The following is a 26,331-nucleotide window of genomic DNA, read 5'->3' as shown; positions in this document are numbered from 1 at the left end:
CAGGATATATCACTTTACTACTTAGTAGTAGGAATTGCTGAAATGTAACATTTCCTATTTTACTTATAAGATCAAATTACATTATGCATATAAAGTATTTTTTAAATATAATATTGTATACAAATGTAAGGTGCATGTAGTATTTAGCATTGGCAACATTAGACATAGCCATGAAGCCTCTGGGTCAAACAATAATAAGTATTTAGTTATTTCTCATTTGTAATGGGTTAGCTGTGGAGGCACTACTTGAGGCTGTGGTATTAAGTCCAGGTCTTCATGTCTCATCATCTCATTTTGGGGCAGAGTCTGAAAGGGCACTTGCTGCCTAGAGCATGTACTTCTCTTGTCAGAAGTCCAAAACTCTCAGAGGGGCAAGTGGTTCTGAAATAAGCTGTGATTCTCAAATAAGCTCAAATCCATTGACCTATGCCTTTTTCTTGCAGCTCAATGTAGATACAAGTCACGTATCCTACAATTCACCCATTTAAAAATGTCCAATTCAGTGGTTTTTAATATATGTGCACATATATGTAACCCTCATCATAGCTGATTATAAAATACTTTCATTTTTTTTGAGCAGAGTCTCACTCTGTTGCCCAGGCTGGAGTGCAGTGGCATGATCTCAGCTCACTACAACCTCTACCTCCCAGGTTCAAGCGATTCTCCTGCCTCAGCCTCCTGAATAGCTGGGATTACAGCTACATGCCACCACCCCTGGCTAATTTTTGTAATTTTAGTAGAGACGGGGGTTTTACCATGTTGGCTAGGCTGGTCTCATATTCCTGACCTCAAGTGATTTGCCCTCCTTGGCCTTCCAAAGTGTTGGAATTACAGGCGTGAGCCACCTCACCTAGACTACAATACTTTCTTCATGTTGTAAAGAAACTCCACAGCCTTTAGCTATCAACCCCTGCCTTACATTCTCAAATCAGCTCTGAGTAACCACTAACCTATTTTCTGTCTGTATAGATTTCCCTGTTCTGACTTTCATATGAATGGAATCATATAGTATGTGGCCTTTTGTGGCTGGCTTCTTCCACTTGGTGTGATGGGAAGTATGGCTCTTAAGGCCTAGGCTTGCAACTTAACTATTGTCAATCCCAATCCCCACACTCCATAGGCCCAAGCAAGTCACAGGACCAAGCCCAACTAAATGAGATAGGGAGTAAACTCTTCTCATGAAGGTTGGGAGAGTGGGGATGTGGAACAGTAATAGAATTTACTAAGTACAGTATTTTTATGTTTTAATTTTTAATTGATCACTGTATTTCCTCATGTCATTGCTTTTTATTGACAGCAGATGTCTATATCATACATTAATAACCAATCTCTGTTTTGTATATCATAATTATTTCAAATTAGAAAATTTACTTTTGCTTTTAATGATGGAAAATTTTCACAATGTGCTATATTTTGCAAAGGAGAAAAATATAGAAGAAAGGAACTTGTGATAATATTTCTTTCAGAATAAAATTGTGTATTTATTAAGGCTGGGAAAATATAGCTATGGCCAGTATTCAAGTATATTTGGCTGTTTAAATATTTTTAGGTTTCTGCTGAGCCTGATGGAGCTACTTATGTATTTCAAGGATTTATTCAAGGCAAAGATTATGGACAATTTGGCCTACAAAGACTGGGTAATGTATTCATTTTGATTTTCACGAACTTCTGTTATTATCCCAGACATCATAAAAAAAAGACTGTGGATTCTGTACATTAGGTACACTTACTGCATTATAAATTCTGTACTGCCAGAACTATGCATTGATACCTTTGATAGCCCTTTTAAATAATCACATTCTTCAAAATACTGGATCTTTATGTACCAACTCTGTACAGTGTTTAGATTTTCATGGTATTTCTAATAAATATGACAAACTGGCTTGCCTTTAAGCACATAAAAAGGAGAAAAAGTGATATAGATAAAAAAGAAAATATTAAACTGTAAATTAGTTTATTGTATCTCATGAGAACTGTACTACTTTTCTTCAGTTTGAATATTGTCGCAGTTTTCATTCTTCTGAAAATGTAGTGACACTCTGAGAAACTCACAGAGTCTGGAAAGAGAAAATAACTTTGAGGAATGGGCCCCTTTTGGGGACTTGGTTCTCTTCAAATATGTAAATTTTCTGCAGTGGGAAGCAAAGAATTTTGTCATTTTTATTTCCAACTCTTCTATATGTATATAAACCTTTAATGGTCTGGCAAGAATGTGTTTATACACATAGCTTTTGGTGTATAATTCTCCTATGATCCACTGTCTCCCATTATTATACTGTGACAGGGATACACAAAGAATAAATTCAGGCTCTAAAAATTATTATTTGACATTTATCTTTTAAGAAATGAACTTTTTTTTTTTCTTTTTTGAGACAGAGTCATGCTCTTGTCACCCAGGCTGGAGTGCAATGGCACAGTCTTGGCTCACTGCAAACTCCTCCTCCCAGGTTCAAGGGATTCTCCTGTCTCAGCCTCCCGAGTAGCTGGGATTACAGACCACCATGCACACTACCATGGTAGCTGGAATTAGCTACCATGCCTGGCTATGTATTTCTAGTAGAGACAGGGCTTCACCATGTTGGCCAGGTGGGTCCCAAACTCCTGACCTCAGGTGATCCGCCCGCCTTGGCCTCCCCAAGTGCTGGGATTACAGGTGTGAGCCACCATGCCCAGCCAAAAATGAACTTTTTAAAAAATTTTGAACTTTTACATAGCAGTACTAAGTCACAGGAAAAATAAGGTAAAAAATAAGATACTAATTTTCTTTAACCTGGACAAAGATGAGGTTTAGTTAAATGTAACTGTTTGTCAAAAAGAGAAATTAGCTTTCTCTACATGAAAAGTAATAAGATGCCATTTACATCACATCCTACCTGTGTTTGTCTTAAAAACAGGTAAAAACACTCATTAACATAGTGCATTTACACAGTTGTATAATTTAGTGCTGAATATTTTCATGTAATATTCTCCAAAGTGTCTCAAACACTACAAGTCTGAAGCAGAACCCACAAAAAAGGAACTATTTCCTTTTAAGAAAGAACTGGTATTTCTTTTTCCCTCATTCCTGTGCAAATGTGTCGACAAGCTTGGCTTTTCTTATTTCCTAACTCTGCGAATGCCATCGGCATTTACTGAGCTTCAAGTAGAATACTTGTAATCCTGTGTCTTCTTGCCTCTTACATCCACATAAACAAGTTCTGCTAATTTTCATTATGAAATCTTCCTCAAATCTATTGTCCCATGCACTTCCTATTTCTCTAGTTTAAATTTTAATTCCTTTTTTTTTTTTTTTAATCTCGGCTGTCACTACAATCTTCTAACTACACCTGATTCCAGTCTGTATTCCCTGAAGTCCATCCTACTACCGCTATGTTCTAAATCTCATGTCATATCACTGGGTCTTTTATTTCTAAACACCTTCAGTTGTTCCTCACTGAGGTGGATAGTAACTCTGGCTGGGTGCCATCACTCATGCCTGTAATCCCAGCATTTTGGGAAGCTTAGGCATGTGGATCACGTGAGTTCAGGAGTTCAAGACCAGCATGGGCAACATGGTGAAACCCTGTCTCCACAAAAAATACAAAAGTTAGCCAGGTGTGGTTGCATGTGCCTGCAGTCCCAGCTACTTGGGAGGCTGAGGCAGGAAGATCGCTTGAGCCGGGGAGGTGGAGGCTGCAGTCAGCCACGACCACTCCACTGCACTGCAGCCTGGGTGACAAAGTGAGACCCTGTCTCAAGAAAAAAGAAAAAAAGAAAAGAAAAAGAAAAAAAAAAGTTTGAGTTCGTCAGAATGATATTTATTCCCTTTTAGAGTCTAGCCATAGTTTATTCTTTTAACCTCCCACTCCTATTTCATGTCAGTGCTTGTCACATCCACTACCTAAGCCACTTACCTTCCCATTTCTAGCCTCATGATGATTTTTCAAGCCAAGCCTATGTTGTATATCCTCCAGAATTACTCCTTTCCTTTCTAAAGCACATTGACCATTTATTCATGCTTGATATACACACTTATTATATACTCCATATGTCTTCCCACTATTGTATAAACTCCTTAGTTCGGGGCTCTGCCTATTTTTTTGTCTGTACCCTTTCCTGGAAAAATATCTTCTAAGAGGCACTGTGCAAACATATGTGAAATGAGTTGAAGGAGTTTCATGAATTATTTTTGTTTACTATGTGATTTCCAGGTAGATATCTTGAGAATAGAAGAAATTAATTGATTCATGGGAGTAGAAATTAATTATGATAAAAGAGTTGTGTATTTATAATTTATTTTTTATTTTGTAGGACTGAATATGTCAGAAGGTTCAAATTCTTCAAATCAACCTCATGGTACAAATAGTAGTTCTGTAGCCATTGCTATTCTTGTGCCTTTTTTTGCACTTATATTTGCAGGATTTGGATTTTATCTTTATAAACAAAGGTAAGCTCATTGATTTTTAACTACAAAATGTTTCCCAAATCTGTTTTTCATGTTATTTCTACTGCTCTAGCTCAAATCTTAATTTCAAATTTTCTTCTGAGTTGTTGAAATGTCTGTGTGCTAACTATTGTCATAGACACTGAAAAATTTATTTCCCCTAACCACCCCTGCAACATTACATACAACATAACAAAAGTGCTCTGTTAAATTGCACAAGCATTCAGTTTAACCTTTCTTTTGCCTGTCAATTTCCTGGCATGGACCTAATTGTAAAAGTTATTTCTACATTATCTATAATGAGACTTTAGAGATAGAAAATCTAGGTTAAAGTTTAAATTGGAGAGGTAATATCTGCTGCCAGATATGTTTAGAAAACTAAGAAGGAGCTTGTGTCCAAACCTCTTAGTTCACACAAAAATACTAACTGATTTTACCCAGGCAGACAGATGGCAAAATCCTCTAATCTTCTCATTCATCTTCTGTTGCTTTTTGATGAATTGCAATTAATATATTTGTGATAGATCTAATATATAGCTGTACATATTATTAGTAGATCCTGTTCTCTCAGTCCATTACAAATCCTGGTGAGTGCTTTACTATATCCCACTATTTGGGACAATCCCTTATCAAGAAAAAATATGTGGGTAGCCAGATAATTAAATGACTATAACCTAAATGCCTTTCCTCCAAAATTGATATATATATATATTTTTTGAGACGGAGTCTTGCTCTGTCGCTCAGGATGGAGTGCAGTGGCACAATCTCGGCTCACTGTAACATCTGCCTCCCAGGTTCACGCCACTCTCCTGCTTCAGCCTCCCAAGTAGATGGGACTACAGGTACCCGCCATCATGCCCGGCTAATTTTTTGTATTTTTAGTAGAGACGGGGTTTCACCGTGTTAGCCAGGATGGTCTCGATCTCCTGACCTCGTGATCCGCCCGCCTCGGCGTCCCAAAGTGCTGGGATTACAGGTGTGAGCCACCGCAAAATTGATATTTTCATTTGGGGTCAATCTGCAACATCTAAGAATGATTTATTTAATATTATATAAATGTGTACTGAGTGTGAATTACCAGCTACTTAGGTCTAGTCAATATCAGATTTTATTAATAGATAAAGAATAATCATCACTAAATTTATTTATAGGACAACCTAAGTCAACTTTTTAAAAATTGTGGTAAAATAGATATGATATAAACCTTATCATTTTAACCATTTTAAAGACTACGATTCAGTGGCATTTAGTACATTCAGAGTGCCATGCAACCATCACTACTGTATATTTCCAAAATATTTTGGAACCCCAAAAATGCCAAAGGGAAACTGTACTTATTAAGTTGTCACTCCTCACTCCCCTCATCCAGCTGCAGGTAACTGCAAATCTGTTTGCTTATTCTGCATATTTTTTACGTAAATGGAATCATACAATATGTGACATTTTGTATCTGGCTTCTTAAACTTAGCAAAATGTTTTCAAATTTTATCCATGTTATAGCATGCATCAGTACTTCATTCTCTTATATGGCTAAATAATATTCCATTGTATGGATGAATGTGTCCATTCATCAATTGATGGACATTTGAGTTGTTTCTACCTTTTAACTACTGTGAATAGTGCTACTGTACACATTTGTGTATAAGTTTTTGTTTGAACACTCATTTTCAGTTCTTTTCAGTATATACCCAGGAATGAAATTACTGGAATATGTGGCAATTCTATGTTTAATTTACTGAGTAACCATCAAGGTGTTCTGTACAGCAGCAGCAGCATTTTCCATTCCTATCGGCAATGGATAAAGGTTCTGCTTTGTCCAAAGCCTAACCAACACTTGTTATTTTCCAGGTTTGGGGGGCTTTGTCTTTTGTTTTTTATTAAAGCCATCCTAGTGCATGTGAAGCTGTATCTCACTGTGGTTTTGATTTCCATTTTCATAATTATAGGTGATGTTAAGCATCCTTTTATGTGCTTGTTGGCCCTTTGTCCATTTTTGTTGAAATGCCTATTCAAATACTTTGTTCATATCTAAATTAGGTTGTTTGTCTTATTTGGTTGTAAGAGTTCTCTATATATTTTAGACACTAGGCCCTTATTAGATATATGTTTTGCAAATATTTTCTCCCTTTCCGTGGGTTGTATTTTCACTGTCTTGAGAGTGTTCTTTGATGTACAAAAGTTTCCATTTGATGAAGTTAAATTTATTTTTTTTCCTCTTACTTGTACTTTTGATGTCAAATCCAAGAAACCATTGCCAAATTCAAGGCCATGTGTTTTTCCTAAGAGTTTTATGAATTTGGCTCTTGTGTTTAGGGCTATGATTCATTTTGAGTTAAATTTTATTCATGGTGTGAATTTTTAAAACTTGGTAATATTTTCCTTCAAGTTGTTGAATATTAAGAAGGGGCAATTATTTTGTATCTTCATGATTATTACCTAATTAGAAGGCAATGATGTTGCTTTGGTTTTTATTTTAAATCTAGTTTGGAAAAAAAATATGATCCAGTAGAGTTATAGTATTAGACACACTTAGTAAGAGCAAGTTATTAGCTTTCTCCCAATAAACCTAAGATAGTTTCTTTTACAATTATTATCGTAGAAATCACCTAATATTTTTGAAATATAGATAAATTCAGAAAAATGCATTAGTGATAATAAAATAATATAATGGCAATTACAAATTATAATAAAATTAATAGTTGAAATTCGATTGTTCAGTATAAACAATAGAGTTGAGAAACAAATTTATTTTAAGATATATCCCTTTTAGGAATTAGGCCCCAGAAACAGATAGCAGCAAGTCTGCCTTTTTTCCATTACAAATGTGAGCAAGTTATACATGCTTCGTGGGAAAGATAAACTAGATTAGCATTAGTCAAAGGTGGAAGAAATAAACAAATGAATCAGAATTTCAAGACCAGCATCCTCTACCAGCCAACCCAGAATTCATGTGTCTGGTTAACTAATTGTTAGTAGTCCTTTAGAAATTATTTTCATGACTTGAGTATGAGAGTAGCCATTTCTTCTTTGAATTTTTGAATTTGCATGCTTTAATGTATACCATTTAAAAAATAAAATTGAGCATTCATGTTTTGGGATACTCCAAAGTACCTTTCCAAATTAGGCCTCAGCATTAATTGTGTACTCTTCAGGGAATCTCCTTCTCTTTTTGTGCGGAACCGACTTATAATTCAGGTTTCAGATTAAATGTTACCTCCTAAAAGATGCTTTGTTCTATTACCTCTCCTAAAGTGGCTTCCAGTTACTTTTCATATTAACCATTTTCCTTTTCATCATAACAATTCTCATTACCTACTATTTTTGGTTTTATTTATTTTAATTTATTCTTGTTTTCTATCACTACAATGTGAACTCCCTGAAAGTAAAGACTAGTCTTTTTTTAAAAAAATGATATACCCAATGCCTAGAATCATGACTGGCGCATAATAGATGTTCAGTAAATATTTGGTGAACAAATAAATAGTGATGAGACTTAAATCCATCATCATTATTATTTATACTATAAATGATAAGTCATAATAATTTCTAATTTTGTAAGAAAATTTATTATAGCCATCATATAATTTATTTATATTTATGTTACTAATATTGATGCTGTACATAAATATGTAATATATGTAAAATTAAAAGTCACTCAGGTTTTTAAAGTAACAAGGAAATTGTTCAAGTTGACTTAGTGTGTTTATGATGTCTCAATTAATATTTTTAAGTTACATTATCTGCTAACGATGTACATTATGTTTGAGCTGTAGTCTGCTGTTTCTGGAAGAAAGTTAACACATAGCTAATCAATGTTCTCATCAACAGGACTGCACCTAAAACACAGTATACAGGATGTTCAGTTCATGAAAATAACAATGGCCAAGCAGCTTTTGAAAATCCCATGTATGACACCAACGCAAAGTCAGTGGAAGGGAAGGCGGTACGATTTGATCCCAACTTGAACACGGTTTGCACAATGGTATAACGAGGCAACCTTTGCCTTCTTCAGAAGCTTGGAAATCGACACACAAAACAGTGCACATTTAGTTCACTGCTAAACAAATTAAAGCACACTTTTCAGGACTTGCTGGGTCACCTTTTCCTGAGGAATGATACAGAAGAGTGTTTTTTCATAAACTGGACCATAATTCTTCATGTTTACCATGGAGAGTTTTACAGAAATTTGGCTGCACTCTGAGAGTGCTTACTCACAGTTTATTTGCTTTTTTTAAAAAGGAGATTATTCTAAAATATAAACTTATTTGCATATATTGGAGGAGCATCCACTATCAGTATTTCTGTGCTTTATAAACTATATTAGAGGGACTGGGTTTAAAAAAAAAGATATAGGGTAGAAATAAGAGCTATACTTACAAGAGTCAATAGATCACTGACTTCTCTTTAACTGTCCTGAGCTACATCACGCCCACAAATCTGTCTTTCATACCACTCTATCTGCCATTCATTCTTGTTAAATGAGGCATTGTTTTCTTTATTTAAGATTGAGTTATGACTTTAAATGTTTATGAGCTAGTTTATGCCTCGGAAGACATAAGGTTTCCCATTCCAATTTGAATCTTTCTATTTCTTTAGCATCATATTGCTCTTCTTCTTTTAGACTGGTTGTCATAGTTTCTGCAAAGGGCAAGTTCATTGTGCTACCCTCCCAATTCCCCCATTATGGAGTAACCAGTATTATTCAGTGAGCTATGGGGTAGTGTTTCACTCCTTGCTTCAATATGGTTTTTTCCTATTTATTTTTATTATTTTTTAATCCCAAATGTGATAGTAGCTTCAGTATGTTTCCTCACCCAAAAACCATTTGGCTGGCAGAAATTATCTAGAAAAATTATTATTTTGCAGTTATCTGAGACACCAAACTTACCATCCTTTATTTTACAATATTTTTGATCGACCAAATAAAATGTCCTAATAATCTACTCTATTTATATCTACATTTCCTTCCAGCTGAGTCTTCAAATTTAGCATTATTTTGACACTTTTAATTTTCATTTAACAATGGATTAGAAAAATATTTTGGTCTAGCCACTAAACATAATGACTGAAAAAAATTATTATTATAAATCACCAATATAAATTTATTGCCTACAATTGTGGACTTATCATATTTTTATATATTTTTAAATTTCTGTACCTTTATTGTTAAACACCAAGTTTCACATACAAGAGGTTTCTTTCATTGTCAAATTAAGATATGTATTTGTAAGTTATTGGTGGCTCATTTAAACTGTATCATACAGTAATGCCAGCATTTTTATTTAATAGGTCATCGTCTTCCTTTTATAGCTGTTTTACTTCATTGAATACGATCATGTACCCAGTGTTAACTCTTTGTTGTTGTCCCTTTCAAATATGGATAACTCTGTGAACAGTCTTGACTTTTTGTATCATGAGACAGAGTGCCTAAGAGAAACCCTTGCACCTGGGAGCGCTGCTTGGCTCTATCTCTACAACATTTAATGAATTTCTTGTAAACCACTTTGAGATACATTGTTTTGGAAATTCATACAATTTTCTCAACATGGTACTCTACTGGCAGGATGCAGTTTTAAATTTTATGCCATCAGTTATTTATTCTTGTTTATTCAAATGACTGCAATAACAATGATTCATTCATTAATGTTAAGGCTAATACATTTAAGATCTTGTTTAAACAATGTTTCTTCTGCAACTGGCTACTCCTCTTATATTAATGCATACACTTTTGTAAAGAAGTATATTTTTATGAAAAGAAACTTTGTAAAAGTATGATGTAAATTTTCAGTGCAATGTAAACAAAATAAAAATGGATAATTGCTTTTGTAAAATGTGTTTTTTTTTCCAAAAATAAACTGCAACTGTTCAGGTTAGTAAAAGGAATGAACAACGCACATTTATTTGTTGTTTTTAAAAGTTCCCAAACTGCATATTCTATACATTTAGTTAGCAACATAATAATGAAATATGAGTGTTTTTCTTCTTTAAATTCCGTAATTCCTCAACTATGACACTTTTGGGAAAATTGATTCCAAGTAAATATAGTAGTAACATAAGAACTTCATCTTATGTTGAGTGAATGGTTTTCTAGAAAAAGAACAAGAACCTCATCTTAGAAGTTTCCTTAAATGCTAATATTTAACAGTACTGTCTAAATTTAGTTACATCTGATGATTTCTAATATTTCTGTAGTATATTTTCATAGAGGTACATTAGCATGCTCTATAGACATGAACTCAAAACTTTTTGAATAGATTAAACTAATACTCAAAAACAAATACATTTTTGTCAGGACGGAGGATTTCCACAAATAAATGGAATGTGTAAAAATCTGTATTCAAGAAACTTACTAAGTTTCTATAAATTCAATTTACAAGTTACTAAGTTCAATTTTATTAGATAACTCTTTTTTACAAAACACAGTGTCTTTATATTTTCAGAACCTCAAACTCCAGCATGTATAGTCTATCTCTGTTTATTACACTTTAGCTTTAGAAATGTATGGTTCTTGATATAATTGTAGCTCTTTGTTAACTTTGTTACCTCCACCTTTCACTCATTTCCCATCTATATTTCACTTGTTGTTCTTCATCTTTTTTTAATTCTTCTTTGTGTTTTTACTTTTCCTTTTTCTTCCACTTTTTAATTTCTCTCTTCTGCTGTTTTTCTTTTTTTTATTATTATTATACTTAAGTTCTGGGATACCCAACCCTGTACAGGTCCCAGTGTGTGATGTTCCCCTCCCTATGCCCATATGTTCTCATTGTTCAACTCCCACTTATGAGTGAGAACATGCGGTGTTTGGTTTTCTGTTCCTGTGTGTTAGTTTGCTGAGAATGGTGGTTTCCAGCTTCATCTATGTCCCTGCAAAGGACATGAACTCATTCCTTTTCTGGCTGCATAGTATATGGTGAATATGTGCCACATTTTCTTTATCCAGTCTATCACTGATGGGCATTTAGGTTGGTTCTAAGTCTCTGCTATTGTGAATAGTGCTGCAATAAATATAACAGTGCATGTGTCTTTATAGTAGAATGATTTATAACCCTTTGGGTATATACACAGTAATGGGATTGTTGGGTCAAATGGTATTTCTAGTTCTAGATCCTTGAGGAATCAAGGATCACACTGTCTTCCACAAAGGTTGAACTAATTTACACTCCCACCAACAGTGTAAAAGCATTCCTATTTCTCCACATCCATTCCAGCATTTGTTGTTTCCTGACTTTTTTTTTTTTTTTTTGAGACAGAGTCTTGCTCTGTCACCCAGGCTGGAGTGCAGTGGCGCGATCTCGGCTCACTACAAGCTCCGCCTCCCGGGTTCATGCCATTCTCCTGCCTCAGCCACCTGAGTAGCTGGGACTACAGGCGCCCACCACCACGCCCGGCTAATTTTTTGTATTTTTAGTAGAGACAGGGTTTCACCATGTTAGCCAGGATGGTCTCGATCTCCTGAACTCGTGATCTGCCTGCCTCAGCCTCCCAAAGTGCTGGGATTACAGGCATGAGCCACTGCGTTTACTGACTTTTTAATGATCTCCATTCTAACTGGTGTAAGATGGTATCTCATTGTGGTTTTGATTTGCATTTCTCTAATGACCAGTGATGATGAGCTTCTTTTCATATGTGTGTTGGCCACATAAATATCTTCTTTTGAAAGTCCCTGTTCATGTCCTTTGTCCACTTTTTGATGGGGTTGTTTGTTTTTTCTTGTATATTTGTTTAAGTTCTTTGTAGATTCTGGATATTACTCATTTGTCAGATGGATAGATTGCAAAAATTTTCTCCCATTCTCTAGGTTGCCTGTTCACTCTGATGATAGTTTCTTTTACTATGCAGAGGCTCTTTAGTTTAATTAGATCTCATTTGTCAATTGTGGCTTTTGTTGCCATTGCTTTTGGTGTTTTAGTTATGAAGTCTTTGCCCATGCCTATATCCTGAATGGTATTGCTTAGGTTTTCTTCCAGGGTTTTTATGGTGTTAGGTTTTAAGTTTAAATCTTTAATCCATCTTGAGTTAATTTTTGTATAAGATGTAAGGAATGGGTCCAGTTTCAGTTTCCTGCATAAGGCTAGCCTGTTTTGTCAACACCATTTATAAAATAGGGAATCTTTTCCCCATTGCTTGTTTTTGTCAGGTTTGTCAAAGATCAGATGGTTGTATATGTGTGGTGTTATTTCTGAGGCCTCTGTTCTGTTCCATTGGTCTATATATCTGTTTTGGTACCAGTACCGTGCTGTTTTGGTTGCTCTAGCTTTGTAGTATAGTTTGAAGATAGGTAGCATGATGCCTCCAGCTATGTTCTTTTTGCTTAGGATTGTCTTGGGTATACAGGCTCTTTTTTGTTTCCATATGAAATTTCAAGTAGTTTTTTCTAATTCTGTGAAGAAAGTCAGTGGTAGCTTGATGGGGATAGCATTGAATCTATAAATTACTTTGGGTAGTATGGCCATTTTCACGATATTGATTCTTTGTATCCATCAGCATGGAATGTTTTTCCATTTGTGTCCTCTCTTATTTCCTTGAGCAGTGGTTTGTAGTTCTCCTTGAAGAGGTCCTTCACTTTCCTTGTAAGTTGTATTCCTATGTAGTTTATTCTCTTTGTGGTAGTTTTTAATGGGAGCTTGCTCATGATTTGGCTCTCTGTTTGACTATTATTGGTGTATAGAAATGCTTGTGATTTTTGCACATTGATTTTGTATCCTGAGACTTTGCCGAAGTTGCCTATCAGCTTAAGGAGTTTTGGGGCTGAGACAACGGGGTTTTCTAAATATACAATCCTGTCTTCTGCAAACACAGATAATTTGACTTCCTCTCTTCCTATTTGAATACCCGTTATTTCTTTCTCTTGCCTGATTGCCCTGGCCAGAACTTCCAATACTATGTTGAATAGGAGTGGTGCAAGAGGGCATCCTTGTCTCGTTCCAGTTTTCAAAGGGAATGCTTGCAGCTTTTGCCCATTCAGTATGATATTGGCTGTGGGTTTGTCATAAATAGCTCTTATTATTTTGAGATATGTTCCATCAATACCTAGTTTATTGAGTGTTTTTAGCATGAAGGGGTGTTAAATTTTATCAAAGGCCTTTCCTGCATCTATTGAGAGAATCATGTGGTTTTTGTCATTGGTTCTGTTTATGTGATGAATTACATTTATTGGTTTGTGTATGTTGAACCAGCCTTGCATCTCAGCGATGAAGCCAACTTGATTGTGGTGGATAAGTTTTTTGACGTGCTGCTGAATTCAGTTTGCCAGTATTTTATTGAGGATTTTTGCATGGATGTTCATCAGGGATATTGGCCTGAAATTTTCCTTTTTTTGTTGTGTCTCTGCCTAGTTTTGGTATCAGGATGATTCTGGCCTCATAAAATGAGTTTGGGAGGTCCCTGTTTTTCTATTGTTTGAAATAGTTTCAGAGGAATGGTACCAGCTCCTGTGGTATAATTTAGCTGTGAATCCATCTGGTCCTGGGCTTTTTTTGGTTGGGAGATTAGTAATTACTGCAGAACTTGTTATTGGTCTATTGAGGGATTCGACTTCTTCCTGGTTTAGTCTTGGGAGGATGTATGTGTCCAGGACTTTGTCCATTTCTTCTAGATTTTCTAGTATATTCGTGTAGAGGTGTTTATAGTATTCTCTGATGGTAATTTGTATTTCTGTAGGATCAGTGGTGATCTCCTCTTTATTATTTTTTATTGTGTTTATTTTATTCTTCTCTTCCTTCTAACAGCCAAGCCCCTCTGCTGCAGGTCTGCTGGAGTTTGCTGGGGTCCATTCCAGACCCTGTTTCCCTGGGTATCACCAGTGGAGGCTTCAGAACAGCAAAGATTTCTCCTTCCTCTGGAAGCTTTGTCCCAGAGGGAGACCCTCCAGATGCCAGCCAGAGCTCTCCTGTATGAGGTGTCTGTCGACCCTTGCTGGGAGATGTCTCTTTGTCAGCAGGCATGGGGGTCAGGGAGTCACTTGAGGAGGCAGTCTGTCCCTTAGCAGAGCTCGAGCACTGTGCTGGGAGAACCGCTGCTCTATTCAGAGCTGGCAGGCAGGAACGATTAAGCCTGCTGAATCTGCACCCATAGCCGCCCCTTCCCCAAGGTGCTCTCCAGGGAGATGGGAGTTTTATCTATAAACCCCTGACTGGGGCTGCTGCCTTTCATTCAGAGATCCCCTGCCCAGAGAGGAGGAATCTAGAGAGGCAGTCTGGCCTACAGCCGCTTTGCTGTGCTGCGGTGGACTCTGCCCACTCTGAACTTCCTGGCAGCTTTGTTTACACTGTGAGGGGAAAACCGCCTACTCAAGCGTCAGTAATGGCAGATGCCCCTCCCCCCACCAAGCTTGAGAGTTCCAGGTCGACTTCAGACTGCTGTGCTGGCAGCGAGAATTTGAAGCCATTGGATATTAGCTTGCTGGGCTCCATGGGGGTGGGATCTGCTGAGCAACACCACTTGGCTCTCTGGCTTCAGCCCCCTTTCCAGGGAGCTAAATGGTCTGTTTCACTGGCATTCCAGGAGCCACTAGGGTATGAACAAAAACTCCTGCAGCTAGCTTGGTGTCTTACAAAACAGCCGCCCAGTTTTTTGCTTGAAACCCGGGACCCTTGTGGTGTAGGCACCCTAGGGAATCTCCTGGTCTGCGGGTTGTGAAGACCGTGGGAAAAGCATAGTATGTGGGCTGGATAGCACCGTCCCTCACGGCACAGTCCCTCACAGCTTCCCTTGGCTAGGGGAGGGAGTTCCCCGACCCCTAGTGCTTTCTGTGTAAGGCGATACCCACCCTGGTTCTGTTCACCCTCCATGGGCTGCACCCACCGTCTAACCAGTCCCAATGACATGAACTGGGTACCTCAGTTGGAAATGCAGAAATCACCTGCCTTCTGCATTGGTCTCGCTGGGAGCTGTAGACCTGAACTGTTCCTATTCAGCCACCTTGCCTGGGAATCTCAAATATTTTTGTTAATTAAATAATGTCTTTGAACTTAAAGCTTTTGGATACATCTTCTGCCCTGTCCCTTGGAGATCATTTAATTTTTCAACACTTCACATTTAAGAGTTGTAGTTTGCTGAAGATAGTCGTGTTGTATTTTAACCACTTTCACACATTTTACTGTGTTCTCTTCTCCGTAACCCTCTCATCACTGCTTTTCTTAATAGTCTTTCTTTTATATGTTGTCTGCTTTTTAGTCTTTTATTCTTATTTTTTATTTTGCTATTTTTCTTTTCCTTTTATCCTTAGTCTTCTCAAAAGTGAGGAGCAATTTTAATGAAAGTAATTTTAAAGAGCCTTAAAAGGCTCGTTGCACTTCCCATGCGTTTAAGAATGTTAAGGAGAAGATGTAGCTTCCCCCCACTGTCTCTTGATACTGGAGCCTGATGAGTGATTGTGGAAATAGACCAATAGGCAAGATTTATCTTATTTGTCCTTTTCACTTACAAGTGAGGGGGGGTGGGGAATGGGCAAAACATTGTCTAAAAGAGCCAGTAAAATAACCAGATAATACTCTCTTTTAAAAGGAAATGAGAATGTATCGCCTGTCAAAGTATTAATCTGTGAATATCTATAAATTAAAAGCAGGCATAGTTGAAGCGAGGTTTTAAAAAGCTCTTCTATAGAATTATAGAAGCACATGAGGCTAAGAAAGAATGTATAATGTGTAGTTTGAATTTTGGCTGAAAGAAATATTGACTTGCTTCCTTTTTTTAGGATGACTTTGGAGATAAGGGAATATTGATCTGAGAAGATATACATGTTGTAAAATCTAAGAAATATCTTTCTGTCATCACCTTCATGAACTTGGTGTTCTAAAGTAATTTCAGAACAGATTTAGAAGTTACTGGGGAACAGAAATAGCCACTGGACATTAGATTTCATTCTTCAGTATACAGAACAATGGAACTAGTGAACACCTGCCAGATACTTTTCCAACTTTTAATAAGTCCCCATGTGTAATAATTTTATTAGTCTTGAAAAAAGTATATATCCTCTACATTCAAATTCATAGCTACGAATTGTATTGTAAAATACAAAACAAGAAACCTGTGTTTAAACTCTCATCAGATCCAAACGTTTGTTGTCACTATTAGCATACCTGTCATAATAGCAATGAACCTCTGTGCTCTGGCAAGACCAGTGAGATATATGTAGATAAATATATAAAAACAATTACATAGAATAATATGGTATAAATTAAAGGGAACCCTAAAGTTTTTCTATTCTGCAAGTGTCTTCCTCACCACCTTGAGTTAAGATTTTGTATCTCCAGAAAGAATTTATTAGAATGAGATATGTTATCTGGGGAATATAACAACTTTGTAATCCCAATTAGCAAATTAACACTAAGCTAATTAAAGAGAAAGTCAGTAGAGAAATCCAGGACTTCTTTGAAGTCTATGGCCTCTTTTTCAGAGATGGTTTTAAATGTATAAAATGAAGCACACAGAAACTTAATTGTAATAAAATAATTACAAAATATTTTAAAATATTTTATATAATAATATACATATATGTACATTAATATACACTAATACATATATACACATTACTGAATAATTAAGTAAGCAGGGGGCTAATTAATTCTGGTAATTTTGAAAAGGAGTGATTATAAGCAATATTATGAGATATTCATAACGTTTAAACATGACCTTAAAATATATGTGATTTTTATTAATGACAAAATCAGAAATTATTTATGCCTATCTTTATGGTTGAAAAAAGTACTATATTTTATTTAGTAGATCAGTGAAGATAAAGGTGTAATTTCTTTTTTTATTTCAAGATCACAAACTGAATTATATCTGTGTACCAGAATAGGAACCCTGCCTTGTAGGTTGAAATTTACAAGTACATAGCAAACGGGCAGGGAAGAAGATGTAGTCTGCTCCCTTATGCTACTGGACAGCAAAATGGAGGGCTTAATTTGAAGCTTGGTTATTTTATTAGGCCATTCCTGCATTGCTATCAAGAAATACCTGAGACTGGGTAATTTTTAAGAAAAGAGGTTTAATTGGCTCATGGTTCTTCAGGATGTACAGGAAGCTTGATGCTGGCATCTGCTTGGCTTCTGGGGAGGCCTGAGGAAACTCCAATTAAGGCAGCAGGTGAACAGGAAGTGGGCATGTTACATGGCCAGAGCAGGAGCAAGAGAGAGAGAAAGGAAGAGTGGGGTGCCACACACTTTTAAACAATCAGATCTCTTGAGAACTCACTGATTATTGCAAGGACGATACAAAGAGGATGGTGCTAAATCATTCATGAGAAATCCACCCCCATGATTTAATTTCTCCCCCCAGGCCCCAACTCCAACACTGGGGATTACATTTCAACATGAAATTTGTGTGGGGAACTATATCAGTTACCAAATACCAGCATGAAGGCAATGAACTCTAAGATTAAATTCCAAATGGGAAGGAGTGGGTATAAATAGCAAAATGTCATTAGTCAATTAATTTATTGACAATAACAAATATCTTCTCATTTTAAATGTGTACTATAAGGTGTAATGGATACTGAAAAAATAAAAATAAAAAAAACATGGCCAGGCTTGGTGGATCACACCTGTAATCCCAGCACTTTGGGAGGCCAAGGCAGGAGGATCACCTGAGGTCAGGAGTTTGAGACCAGCCTGGCCAACAAAGTAAAACCCCATCTGTACTAAAAATACAATAATTAGCCAGGTGTTGTGGCATATTCCTGTAGTCCCAGCAACTCCAGAGTCTGAGGCAGGAGAATCACTTGAACCTTGGAGTTGGAGGTTGCAGTGAGCTGAGATCACGCCATTGCACTCCAGCCTGGGTGACAGAGCAAGACTCCGTCTCAAAAAATAAATAGAAATAAAAATAAAAATAAAACACATAGATCTTATCCTTCAACTTGTAACTTGATGTCTTTTTAAGGTACAAAAATTATTAAAGTATATTAAGGTGCCGCACAATAGCTATGTGATGTCTATGTATGTCTATGTGTGCTTTCACTACTTTCTATAAATTAAAATTAACTTTTATGAATTATAGAGAAACTTGACAAATTTTGATCTGTTGAATGAGGCACTACCTTATTTTAGCCTAATAATTAAGGGGCATAAAAATGGTTTGGGCTATGTGGCATCAATACATATTTTCAGAATATTCAGAATTTGATGGAATGAATTACTATGAAAACTGCATGTTAGATGACTCTAATATCATGAAAAACTTGGATATTTCTTGACAAAATAATCATAGGGTGTTCACAATTTTAATGGGAAATGTATACTTTATCCTTTCATTTCATATGTATATATTCCCTTAGGAATCTTTATTAGTTGATATCTGCTCTATAAAACATCGTTTGCACTTAAACTGAAAAAAAATGCACCTACAATTTCAATAAAAATCAATGAGATAAGACAGTGAGACAAAGGCCAAATTTATATTTAGTGATATGCCATCTATTGAATAAGGGAAATCAGTATTCCTTTTGGCTTTGTAATTCTACTTAACATGCTACCCAAAGGAAATAATCACAGATGAGTATTTAACTTGGCTTTTCAAATTATGCGTTGTTTGCATATCGTGAAAAATACATCACTAGACACCAATGTGTGAGCAACATAGATATTCACTGATCTCGGATTGCATTATAAATCACCATGAATGAATCACTAATTATTGAAAATTAGGTTCAAAGTTTAACAGTGTGGAGACTTCAATGTTCAAACCAAAAACCCCAGTGTATCTATACATCTCTCTGTCTTTGTCTCTCTTTTTTGTATCTCCCAAATACACACGCATACAAACATAAGTATCTTCAATCAAAAAATAAAGTGTGGCCGGGCGCGGTGGCTCACGCCTGTAATCCCAGCACTTTGGGAGGCCGAGGCGGGTGGATCATGAGGTCAGGAGATCGAGACCATCCTGGCTAACAAGGTGAAACCCCGTCTCTACTAAAAATACAAAAAAATTAGCCGGGCGCGGTGGCGGGCGCCTGTAGTCCCAGCTACTCGGGAGGCTGAGGCAGGAGAATGGCGTGAACCCGGGAAGCGGAGCTTGCAGTGAGCCGAGATTGCGCCACTGCAGTCCGCAGTCCGACCTGGGCGACAGAGCGAGACTCCGTCTCAAAAAAAAAAAAAAAAAAAAAAAAAAAAAAAAAAAAAAAAAAAAAATAAAGTGTAAGTAGTAGTTAGATATTATCAGAAGTGTGATTTTAATTTTTCATTCCCCCCCTCAGAGTGTATATCTGTTAATTTCATTATAAAAACAATAGTTTAAAAAATCAAATAGTGTTAAATTTAAAAATTAAGATGTTACTATGATGATAACTTTGCTTGGAAGAATATACAGCCCTGCAGGTCATAGTTAAAGAGCCTGAGTTCAGGAGACACCTATATGAACTGTATCTTTGTAGATAATCAATATGATAACAATCAAAATAGTTTTTAAACGTTTCAAGACTTTTACACAGGAAAACCCCTAAGATTAAAAGAGGTAATACCTCTATACAGTAAATTGTCTAAACAATTAAAAAATTGAGAAAAAATGATGAATTCATTGACTAATCCATGATTTTTGTCAAATATCAGTATAGTTTCATTTTACTTTTGTTGCGTGCATTACATCAAAATTGCCTAGAATAAGAATATTGGCCAAGCAGATCATATTCCCTTGCAAATGAAACTTCCTCTAAAAATGTAACTAAAGTACCAAGAAGAATTTAGTCAATATTTATATGTTTATTCTATATGTCTTAGAAAATAATTTTCTTTCCAAATAACTGTAATGGTAGATGTTTTACTTTATAGAACATGTTTTAAAACCTTAAAAAAATCTGACCAGAAGTTTGCTTTTTTATTATTATTGCTTTGAGCTTATGGAGTTAATCGATTTCTTTTTCCTCAAAGCAATTACATTATCCAATCTATTTTTTTTTTTACATTTCATTTTCTCTTATTAAGATGTAGTTCAAGAACTTTTACCTTGGATAGTGCCATGTAACTAATTACAAGCATCATTATTAAGTGACAGTTTTAAGTATTTCTTAGAACTATAAAAAAGTAGAAACCATAACATTGACCCAGTAACATAGTAACTTAATAAGTGGTTTCTTTATTTAAAGTCTTTTTTGGTGTTCATGTGTCCCTCCATCCCTATCCACTGTTCCATGTAGGTAATGGCAAATTCTAGTAGCAATTGTTTTGGGAAAGTACACCTCAAATTTCATGTATAAAGGATTTGGTACACTATTCTAGTAATGGAATCCAGCCATACCTTATTGTTTATATTGCAATTTCATTTCCAACTCTCAGAACACAATTGACACTGTGTAGGTAACAATGATATACACAAATATTTAGAGAGTGAAAGTCAAATTCATGTGTAACGAGTTTAAAGTGTGAAACGTTAATGCTAATTTTAAGAATCTTTATGAATCAACAGAGTAAAATTTTTTCACAAGTTTAATATGTGAAAAAAATTACATGGCGAAAATTAATAGCTCTTCAATAACACTTGTTTTGAAAACTTGAATTCGTTCCAATGTGATTGACATTTCAAGGCAACAGTTTGAGTGTAGTGGAATTTTGCCTTTGTTTATACCCGACTCTCCCAACCATAGACAATGTGAACTCAGACAACTGTACTCTGTTGAATCTAGCTGAATAGAAGTATGCAAAAATACTCACATGCAAATATCCTACCAGCTACCTCAGTTCACCATGCATGTCAGGGGACACACCCATTGACATCTACTGTGACAACTGTCCATCAGATTTCAGATCCTCCTTGTTCCTCCTCTACACAATAACTCACAAGCCGCAACCCTTCTGATATACACTTCCAAAAGCACACTTGAGGTTTTTCTCAAGATAAAGTTCCATAATCATTGTGATATTTATGCATTCCTTAAGTGTTTAACATGTGCAAAACTGTACTATCATTTTTGTTAGATTTTGTTCTTTTTGTTTCATGTGCCACTGACAATTTTTTTTTTTTTTTTTTTTTTTTTTGAGATAGAGTTTTGCTCTTGTTGCCCAGGCTGGAGTGTAATGGCACGATCTCGGCTCACCGCAACCTCCGCCTCCCGGGTTCAAGCGATTCTCCTGCCTCAGCCTCCCGAGTAGCTGGGATTACAGGCATGTACCACCATGCCCGGCTAATTTTTTTGTACTTTTAGTAGAGAAAGGGTTTCTCCATGTTGGTTTGGCTGGTCTCAAACTCTCGACCTTAGGTGATCTACCCGCCTCAGCCTCCCAAAGTGCTGAGATTACAGGCGTGAGTCACCGCACCCAGCCAGTGACAAAATTCTTAACTGTTATGCCCCTAACTTTATTTTTCCCTACAAACGTCGTAGTTCCTTATAGCATGATATTATTGCATGGTCCTGCCAACAGTGATTTTTTTTTTAGTAACACACATACCATATTAGAGCAGAACTGAATGTAATTATTTAAGTTTTTCCATTTTAATGCATTCACATTTTTCAAATATTAGAAAGATTAAAAAGATATAGTACAAATTCTTCCTCTATTTCTGTCCCCATATTCATTAATTTTCATAAACCTGTCCTATTAATTCGTTTTTTATTCTTGGAGAGATAGTTTTGTGTGTACAGAAGGGAGTATTTCCTTTCATGTGTTTACCAACATTACCTTTCTCTTCTCACATACTTTTCTGCATCTCATTTTTTTTATTGAATGTATCTTGAAGATTTTTTAAAACACAGAAAGCTTTCTCATGCTATTGAATGTTTATATAGTATAATATATATAAACAGTTTCCTGTCAATGAAGATTTCCATTAGCAATTCAATCTCAAGTTATTACAAACAATAATGTAATAAATGACTTTGAACTTCTGTATGTTGTACATGTGCCAATATATACATGGGTTAAATTTCTAGAACTAAAATTGCTAGGGCAAAGCGTGTGATGTATTAGAAAGTTTGATAGGACTGCAGGATCTCCCTACAAAATAGGTTTGTGACATTTTAAACTCCCACTTGTAATGAATGACACTGGATGTTTTCTCACAGCTTTTAATGTTACCATTTTGCAATATGCTTTTCAATACACATTAGATAAATATGATTTCTTCAATACTTTAAGAGGTTATATGCACTGTATTGTTAATCCTCTATGCTAGCACTTCCCACATAATGTTTCACAGGATACCAATATGGATCAAAATACTCAACAGATGTTTTTCTGAAACAAAAAAACATTACTGGACCAAAAATAGTTTTAAAAACCTTGAATAGAGCATTTTTCCCCAAGAAATTGTCAAAACATTTAACATAATAATGTGACTCTCAAAGATAAAAATAAAAATGAAATATTTTCTAAAACATTTAACTATGGAAAGCATAGTAGCATTACATAGACTGCTAACATTTCTTAGAATTTAATGTAGAATAAAAGAAAAGGTGTATATCACCTTTGGCATGTTGGGAAGATATATATATAAGCATATAATTATTTGGGGTTATAATTTGTCCACATGTTAGCTTTTCTCTAAGTTAACCAAATATTTCAACTAAGCAAATATTTCACACAAATTATTAATCTTGATTGATATATCATGTTTAATATATGCAGTCATAGAGAATAACACATTATAAGTCAAATAATACTTTTTCACAAATACCAATTTTTTTTGGTACAGTATGTGGGCATTAGTTACAGGACAAGAATTCTGCCACCCTAGTCACTGTAGTTCACAAAGGTGACTGGGTGAAAATATACAACGTATCAGTAAATAAGTAGCCATCTTTCAGAGGACAGTCAGGAAATAATATTTTACTTTAAGTGCATATTATTGGCAAAGAATCATATGTAAGAGAAACTGCTCAGAAACATATTTTCTTTTTACATTTCTTTCGTACTATTTCATCCTCTTCACCAACTAGCCTTACTTAGTAGCTTTCAATCTTCTAAGCAAAGCAAGTTTGTTTATCCTCTATGGTCTCATAATCCTTCTTATCTACATTAATTATAGCTAATATATTAATGTATTTATGTGATGCAATCTCTGATTGTTGTTTAAATTGTGTGGACCCTTCCAAGTTTAAACCATTTTTTTTTTTTTTTGAGACGGAGTCTCCCTCTGTCACCCAAGCTAGAGTGCAGTGGCGTGATCTCGGCTCAGCAAGCTCCGCCTCCCGGGTTCATGCCATTCTCCTGCCTCAGCCTCCCGACTAGCTGGGACTACAGGTGCCCGCCACCACGCCCGGCTAATTTTTTTGTGTGTTTTTAGTAGAGACGGGGTTTCACCGTGTTAGCCAGGATGGTCTCGATTTCCTGACTTCGTGATCCGCCCGCCTCAGCCTCCCAAAGTGCTGGGATTACAAGCGTGAAGCCACCGCGCCCGGCCAGGTTTAATCTTAATTTATGTTTGTGTCTCACTCCAGTGAAGGAGGCTGGAATTGAAGCAGAAGAAAAGATGAATATTTATTTATATCCATCATTTACCTGGGAAGATGTGAAGTAAACATGTATTCAGTATTCTATATAAAATTAAAATATAAATTTAACATTTTTGTAGGAATTCTGTAAAAGAGGTATTTATATCTTTTTCTATAGTAACTAGCATAAAATATAGGCTACATAAATGTTCTTTGAATTAATAAAGTACCTCTCTTTACTCAAGGATTCAGTTTATAAAATTATTCTGCTTTATTTGTGTTAATGATATACAATATTCAGGAAGGATACATAGTAACCATTCTTGAAAATATTTTCTGGGAAATATAAACTAAGGTAGAAATCACATTAATAATAATGATATTGATATAAATTACATAAGAATTCAAACGCTTTGTGTTTTTTAAATAATTGGGCTATTTTAAAAAATTTGCTCAACTAAGAATAATTCTTTAATTGAAATCTTATGCAAAGGTTTTTGATGTGAGAAACTTATAGATTTCTAGATGTAATTTAGAATCCTAGGTGAAATTTCCCTATTCTTCATCAAGAATACCTATTGTATTTATCTATTATTATTGATATCCATTATATCAACTTTGTATAGGGAGAAGTTTTTGGAAATATCCTAACAATGAAATGATAAGTGACTCTAAGATGAATATCCCATCAGTGTTCTCTAGGCAATTTTCTTCATCAATTTCTACATTTATTCTGGAAAGCACGTTAGTAACTAACCAATGTCAACTTTTTAGTGAATTAAAAATTACTTAAAACTTATTTTATTTCTTTGTACTGATATGTACTTTAATACTGAGTATAATTTTTCTCATCTCACACAAACTATTTTCATTTACTTGACATTAAATGTGCCAGCATCAATGTCCTTCAGCTAAAGAACACCATGGAAAACAATTAACACTGGCCAAAATAAAGTACAAGAGAAAACATTCAAGTTGATTCACATAGGAGAGGAGGTTTTACGTTCAGTTGTAATTGAGTTTCTGGGATTCACTTCTATCTCAAATAGGTAGTTATATATCTGGATCATGGATTTAAAGCATGGGATTGGGAGAGCAATTTTGATTTGGAATTCACTTTTAAATGGTATTGCAGGAGCTAAATGTGGCGGTTGGGTTGTCCATTAGAATACGCAAAATATGAAAAGAAGATGGTAAGACAGGTGAACACTAAAGACAACTTCTCTTCAGAAGCAACTAGTCTGGAATGTTTTCACACTGTTACATTTGCACTTTATATTGTTCTTCTATTTTCCCTTGATATTTTTTTAACATTTGATTTTTTTTTGAGATTTTGTTTTTGTTAATATCAACCTATTTCAACTTTGCTCAAGGAAAAAGAGACAGATCACACTGTGTAACAGAGCATTAGAAGCTGTATCCAACTATAGCCCCAAGAGCCTGAAAGTTTGTGGAAACTAGAATCAAAGCTCAAGAATCCTGAGGAGCAAATTTTAAATTCACTGGACAAAGTTAAGGTCATTTTGTCAGTTTTTTGTTTTTGTTTTTGTTTTTGTTTTTGCCTCCTGTCTGGTAAGATTCTTCTACCAGGGTCATAAACATTCACAAGTAGGCAGAAACACTTTAAATTATTCATCTACTTTTATCAGGTAAATTCTTAAAGGTCATTGACAACTTTTGTTCTAAAAAACAGCCACAATACAATGCAACAGTTATAAGCAAGCTTACCAATTGCTATTCAACTGGTCTTGTTTGCACATATAGATTTAAAAAGCCCTCAAGGAAAGATTACCTGTAATACATACACACACATACACACATATGTATAATTACTATATATTTCCTAGAGATCCAAGTATAGTGGAAAGCATGCAGTAATCACACAATAAACATTGCACAATCACCTGTTTGGTTATTAATTAATTTTAGCCCATCAACTTCATATTTGAGGAAAGAAAAAAGGCAGGAACTATAAGAATAAAAATATAGCTCAGGTAAGTGTTTTCATTTTTGTGTTTGACTCATAATTTTATTATTTTATTCTTTTTTTTTAGCTCTTCTAAACAAATATTTGAAGTATTACATAGTATTTGAAGTATTACATAGTATTTGGTCAACCACTTGTGGATGACCATTGTATTAATTTTAAATTGTTTAGTTTGTTGAAAATATATGAAAATTATCCATTTTAACAATGTTCTGAAGATGTTTGAGCTAAGTGCAGAAATGGGACAAACAATAGCTGTAAATAACTATAAAATCTCACTTTAGTTTGAGTCAATATCTGAGAAAAAAAGAATGGAGTAAAAGCACAGAAAGCAAAACTTAGCTTAGAAAATATTTCCTAATTCAAAAAATGAACAAGTCAGATTCTGTAAAGATATCCAGTGAAATCTTGAAGAAATATTGTATTGATTATTAATTAATCTGATTGGAAAGTGATCTTGGGTTCACAATGAGGTTGTTGAACAAGTAGCATTTTCATACAATTGCAAACCAATTCAATGTTTTTGCATACACTGTTTACATTTCTTTTCAAAATTTG

General features: G+C 35.3%; 1 protein-coding gene across 10 annotated transcripts in view, besides 1 other annotated feature; it reads left to right on the top strand.

Annotated features, from left to right (window-relative positions):
• The window catches only part of CSMD3 (CUB and Sushi multiple domains 3), a 1,214,012-nt gene extending 1,203,758 nt beyond the window's left edge, over positions 1 to 10,254 (top strand). For all 10 annotated transcript variants that reach the window (NM_001363185.1, XM_017013010.2, NM_052900.3 and 7 more), the window contains 3 exons: positions 1,550 to 1,637; positions 4,291 to 4,426; positions 8,252 to 10,254. In NM_001363185.1, the coding sequence (NP_001350114.1) occupies positions 1,550 to 1,637; positions 4,291 to 4,426; positions 8,252 to 8,411 (384 nt within the window). In that variant the 3' untranslated portion in view covers positions 8,412 to 10,254. The remainder of the gene's footprint in view (positions 1 to 1,549; positions 1,638 to 4,290; positions 4,427 to 8,251) is intronic.
• Positions 14,658 to 15,394: an enhancer, noted in NCBI's record as "H3K27ac-H3K4me1 hESC enhancer chr8:113230017-113230753 (GRCh37/hg19 assembly coordinates)". NCBI's record gives its function as "activates a minimal SCP1, AML or CMV promoter by ChIP-STARR-seq in naive H9 embryonic stem cells {active_cell/tissue: H9 hESC(naive)}" and the evidence as "EXISTENCE:reporter gene assay evidence [ECO:0000049][PMID:30033119]".

The sequence above is a fragment of the Homo sapiens genome, chromosome 8, assembly GCF_000001405.40.
Source record: "Homo sapiens chromosome 8, GRCh38.p14 Primary Assembly".
Lineage (NCBI taxonomy): Eukaryota > Metazoa > Chordata > Mammalia > Primates > Hominidae > Homo > Homo sapiens.
This window is presented reverse-complemented; position numbering and strand designations above follow the sequence as displayed.